This window comes from Homo sapiens, chromosome 4 (assembly GCF_000001405.40).
Source record: "Homo sapiens chromosome 4, GRCh38.p14 Primary Assembly".
Lineage (NCBI taxonomy): Eukaryota > Metazoa > Chordata > Mammalia > Primates > Hominidae > Homo > Homo sapiens.
Genome location: NC_000004.12, coordinates 43,677,971 through 43,683,581, shown reverse-complemented (window position 1 = coordinate 43,683,581; position 5,611 = coordinate 43,677,971). Strand labels below are relative to the sequence as shown.

At 34.7% G+C, this 5,611-nt stretch overlaps 1 annotated feature.

Moving 5' to 3' along the window:
• Window positions 281–1,480: an enhancer, noted in NCBI's record as "MED14-independent group 3 enhancer chr4:43684119-43685318 (GRCh37/hg19 assembly coordinates)". NCBI's record gives its function as "activates an origin of replication core promoter dependent on BRD2, BRD4, P300/CBP and CDK7 cofactors, and independent of MED14, by STARR-seq in HCT116 cells {active_cell/tissue: HCT116}" and the evidence as "EXISTENCE:reporter gene assay evidence [ECO:0000049][PMID:35650434]".

The window sequence follows — 5,611 nt, the reverse complement described above, 5'->3', positions numbered from 1 at the left end:
TCTTTTTAATAATACTATGTAAATATTTAGGATTGTTGTCAAATATCAGAAAATCTCTAACAGGTGGTTTTTCTTTGCTTATGTCTTAAGTACAAGATTTGGAACATTTTTCCAAGGATGGATTCCAATATTTTAACCTGGTTGCTCCTTTTAAATCTTCTTCTCTACCTACATACTTTCCATTCCAGGTGGTCTAAACAAGCTCCTATAAAACATCACCTCTGGCCCTGCACTATCTAGTCATAATGACAGGTTAATTGACACAGAGGTGGTAAGAGGATTTCTGGAAGCTATTCCTACAGTTGCATAACCAGCAATTACTGAAATATACAACAAGGACTGTGATTCATAAAAACATAAAATAAAACTGAATTTTATTTCATATTTTCTTTCTTCTTATCTTTCTTATTCTTTTTTTGAATATTATTCTTTTTTTGAATCTCTAACTCAACTTCTCCTTAACTAGATCCCCAAAATGCCAGTGGGCTCCCTAATACACCCATCAAGGAGAGAAAAATATTAGGAAAGAAAAAGGGCTCTTAATGAATAGTGATTGAAAAAATATTACTATTTCAAATGACACAGAACCAATGATATGGATATTTTTATAGGTTCCATCCCAAGACCTTGGAAGAGACTTCTTCCAGAAAAAGACCTAAGGCTTAAACTTTATTAAGCCTTAATAAGGCCGCCCCACAGGCAAGCAGTGCACCAGTGGAAAAAGGAAGTTTAGCATCTTTCTTCCCTGCCTCCTCTCTTCCTCTGGGGTATGATATCTGGCGGTGGCTGAGTCACTTCCTGTTATGCTTTGCCTGTATCTTCATCCAAATCTCACCTTGAATTGTAGTTCCAATAATCCCCATGTGACGTGGGAGGGACCTGGTGGGAGGTAATTGAATCATAGTGGTGGTTACCCTCATGCTGTTCTCATAATAGTGAGTGAGTGAGTTCTCACAAGATTTGATGGTTTTATAAGGGGCAAACCCCTTTTGCTCTCATTCTTCTCTCTCCTGCTGCCATGTGAAGAAGGACGTGTTTGCTTCCTCCTCCACCATGATTGTAAGTTTCCTGAGGCTTCTCCAGCCATGCTGAACCATGAGACAATTATACCTCTTTCCTTTATAAATTACCCAGTCTTGGGTCTGTCTTTATTAGCAGCATGAGAATGGACTAATACACTTCCTATTGATCTTGTTAGGTGTCTCCTTTTCTGTGTCTCTCATTCTCACTGGAGAGAGACATTGAGTACTTTGTCCCATCCCTGCAAGGGCATGGGTTGGCAGTGGCTATGGTTGTCCACCTCACAGTGCCTATAGGACAGCCTTTCTCCTAAAGGTACATAGCCATTGCTCCATTAACAATTTTCTTTATGTGTCCCATCAGGCACACACTGGATAATAACTTCCTGCTTTTGCCAATTTCTGAGTACCTCAACATCCCTTCTGCATTATTTTTATTTTGTTAACAGCTCAAAGAGGGGTCTATTCATTAAGATATGTTAACTAACCTGAATTTGATCCTCTTTCCAGAATCCAGCAAACTCCTGGCTAATAGAGGCAAGTTATCTCCTAAAGCATCAGTTTCTTTGCATGGAAAATGGACAACATAAGATCTATTTTATGGGTGTTTTATAAAGATAAAATAAGACAATACATAAAAATATACACCACTATTTAATTTGTACCATTTGACTTTTTTTCTTTCAGAATAAACAAAAAATAAAATGAATTTATTCAAGCACGCAGAGGCAAAGGCAGAAGATCCCAATTACCCAGTGTAATCTGATGTCAACTACATAGTGCTTCTCATGCCATAATTTTTTTATTTGACATCAATTGCAACAATATAACACCTATTAAATCTAAGAAAAACAAAATACAAAATCAAAATCATTCAAAGTAGAAGCCCTATTTTATATTTTTGTGTATTTGTTTTGTTAACTTTTTCTTGTATATTTATGGAAAACAATGCAATATTTTCACCTATGTGTACATTGCAAAATGATTCAATCACATTAACATATCTATTTCTGTTATCAGACTCAATACATATACAATTACATTTTAATAAAGATAATCATAATAAACATAATGAAGAAGTCAAAAAAAAGAAAAACAAACTGAACACATTCATTGAAAGTGTGTGCACTGGCAACAAACACGGACTGAACTTTTCCTGTTGAGGACACATAATAAGCAGCTGGCAGATCAGCCTTAGTTGATAACCATACATTGAAAATCACTGTGTTGCAGTATTTAATTCTGTATCTACCATACTCTGGCTGATGACATTTGTAAAGACCAGTTTCTCTGTACATCAGCTACCTCCCCACCATACATTTTATGTCTTTCTTCTTTTTCTTGCTTTTTGTAACTTTGTAATAAACTCCCCCCACCCAAGGACATTCACCCAAGCCCAGATTTCTCCTGGGGAATTATTTATTAGAAGTGGTTTATACCTTTAATGAATGCCAGGTACTAATAGCAGAATCTGTGCCTGATCAATATTCAAATTACCTGGTGATAAATGGGCTGCCAATATGTGCAACACAGTCTGCTCTCAACACAGTCCCTGTATTCTGTATTATATTTTATCTTCAGGCAATAGAACAAGAGCCCCTAATATATTGTTGCATGTATGCAAAACTCAGGTTTCTAAGTCACAGTTAAATTTGGACATTTTCCTTAGTCAAAGATAGTTTTGAGTATTCTGCATGTGACATAATAAGGAAGAAAATCAACATCCAGTCAAATTTTAGTGTGCATATTTTCCTTCTAAATTTCATACCAGGAAAATGGAAAAGTGGAGTTCACCAGTAGGTTTTAGCCTTTTAAAGATCAAGGTTTTTATGTTTAATGAAAAATGTTAGGCTAGGGAGAAGAAAAGGGAAAGATTCTTGAAGGGAAAAAGAGAAGTTTCATTTGAATGCATACAGCAAGTGTTGCCATGGGAACCGTGCTCCAACTGTGAAAAAGAACATTCATCCTGCCTGTTATTGGGAAGTCCATCATGTGCTGGCAGCTGCAAAAATCCTTCTCTTATTAGTGCAAAATTTTAATTTTCCAAAGGGTTTGGGTGTGGATAAGTGGTTTAAATAGTGATAAGGTCTCCCCAAGTAAGCTATAACCATTACCTAAAATTTTGATTCTGATGACAGTGTTTTTTATTATTTTCACTAATTACTATCATTTTCTAAGCGTCTTCCATAACTGCTGTGGAGACAAGGAAATATTTGAGGGTACAGACTCTTTTTATAATTGCTTTTTTCATTGTTATTTGTCTTAGGCCAGCTAAACTATAGATATCATATATAATGTTATATATATATCATTCACATCAAATTCTTCTATTACTATTTACTGAGAACATATAAAAGATCTGTTTTATATTACAAATATGGAGAATTTTGCTATCAGAAATCAATGCAAACAATGCCAAGTGGCCAGAAGTTTAGTCTTAATCCCCAATCTACAATTGCAACAAATTTTATGCTTTGGGGGAAAACGATTAATGCCCAGCTAATTTTTAAAAAAATAAACTAATGTCTGTTGGAATAATTGCTCCTTTGTAGGTGAGAGACATAATGCTCCATGTGAGGTGCAGTTTGGCATAGTTGAGAATGGGGACTGGTGGAACCAGTTGCCTGAATAAATCCGTGTTCTTCCATTTAATGGAAGCATGAACTTGGACAAGTTACATACACCATTTTCTTCTTTAAAACAGAGATTATGGTGATAATAACACTTTGTAGGGTTGGTGAGGAGATCAAAATGCTAATATAGTGGTTAGCAAACTATTTCTATAAAGGATCATATAGTAAATATTTGATGCTTTATAGGACATACAGTCTTTGTGGTAACTAGTCAACTCTGCTGTGGTAGCATGAAAGCAGTGATAGGAAATACGAAAATTAATAGGTGTGGCCAACTTAAAAGAAAACTGTATCTATAAAAACAAACAGCAATGCTGAACCTGGCCTGTGAGATGTAGTTTGCCAACCCCATGAAGCACTTGCAATAATGCTTAATTCAGAATAAGTGTCAAATAGGTGTTAAATATTATGGGTTACACTGAATTTTTGTGGTTGATTTAAAAACAAAAACAAAAAACAAGGTCTTGTTCTGTTGCCCAGTGTGGAGTTCAGTGGTGTGATCATAGCTCACAGTAATCTCAAACAACTGGCCTCAAGTGATCCTCCCACCTTAGCCTCCCCAGTAGCCAGGACTACAAGCATATGTGACAATGTCTGGTTAATTTTTTAAATTGCTTTTGTAGAGATGAGCTCTTGCTATGTTGTCCAGGCTGTTCTCAAACTCCTGGCCTCAAGTGATCCTCCCACCTCAACCTCCCAAAACACTAGGATTACTGGCGTGAGCCACTGCACCCTGCTGTGGTTGATTTTAATTTAAACTGAATAAAGCACGTTGAAGTTACCAACATATTCTCAAAATTAGGAATTCAACTGAGACATAATTCATCCAGAAACACAATTTAAAGGCGTACAAATGATTCAGAGTTTTTAACTCATCTGTGTAATGGAAGACCATAGTACTAAGTAAATATTACTCTGGAGATTCCTCTACTACTAAGAGTAAACTACATAATTCATTAGTTATAAAACATAAGAAATAAAAATTTAAATGGAGTGATTAGAATAAGTTGCTCTGTAAAGATTTTTAATGTACCATTTTATTCAAGGAATAATTTAAAGAGCAAGAGTAATGTAAAACTACAATGGGAATGTCAGTTACATTGAGATAAAACTAAGACTTTAAAAAAATGATATTTACTGTGAGATAAAAGTATCATCAAATTATGATCACAATTTATGATATAAAATAAGCTTCTTATGTCACTGATAATAGTACTTGTGCTCACCTTTCATAATCAAAATATGAAAACCACTTGAAATTGTAACCATGAGTGGCAGGTGGTAAAATTTCAAATGCTTATTTCAATGGTACTAATAATATTTTAGTTTTAGAGCCTCAAGATTTAAAGGACTAGGCTGCCATATTTTTCCTCCAGGAGCTAGAGTTATGGACTGCCTCTAATTAAATAATATCCAGGCTGCAGTTTACCAAAATGATCATGAAATAATCATCCCCTTCTCAAATCATTCAATCCTAAACTGATAAAATTCTCTAAGCTTCAGTTGCAAACTTATCCTTTAAATGTATGACCAAGAAATATATAATTTCAAAAGAAAATAAAGATTAGCATATAGTATGTATTATTTTTCTCAATTAACAAAATTTATTGACAGAAAAAGACCCCAAAAGACACATCTGTAGTGGAAGATTAATTTTGTTTTCATCCGGAACGTTGTTTCTCTGAATAACTTGATTACAAAGCCCCTAGAAGCTGATATTAAAATTGACTTAACTAATCATGAAAATCCAAAAACTTTGGGTGGCTTTGCAAATTTATCTTTTACTTATCCCATGAACACACACTATACAAAGATTTGAAGTTAAGTTCTCTCTGAATGGTTTTTTCAGTCATAACCTACACATTTTCAGTAATGCTCAGCCAGAATGGTCATCATGTTACTCTAGAGGAACAAATTTAGAGCTGACTTCTGAAAATAGAAAAATATACATGTTGATTT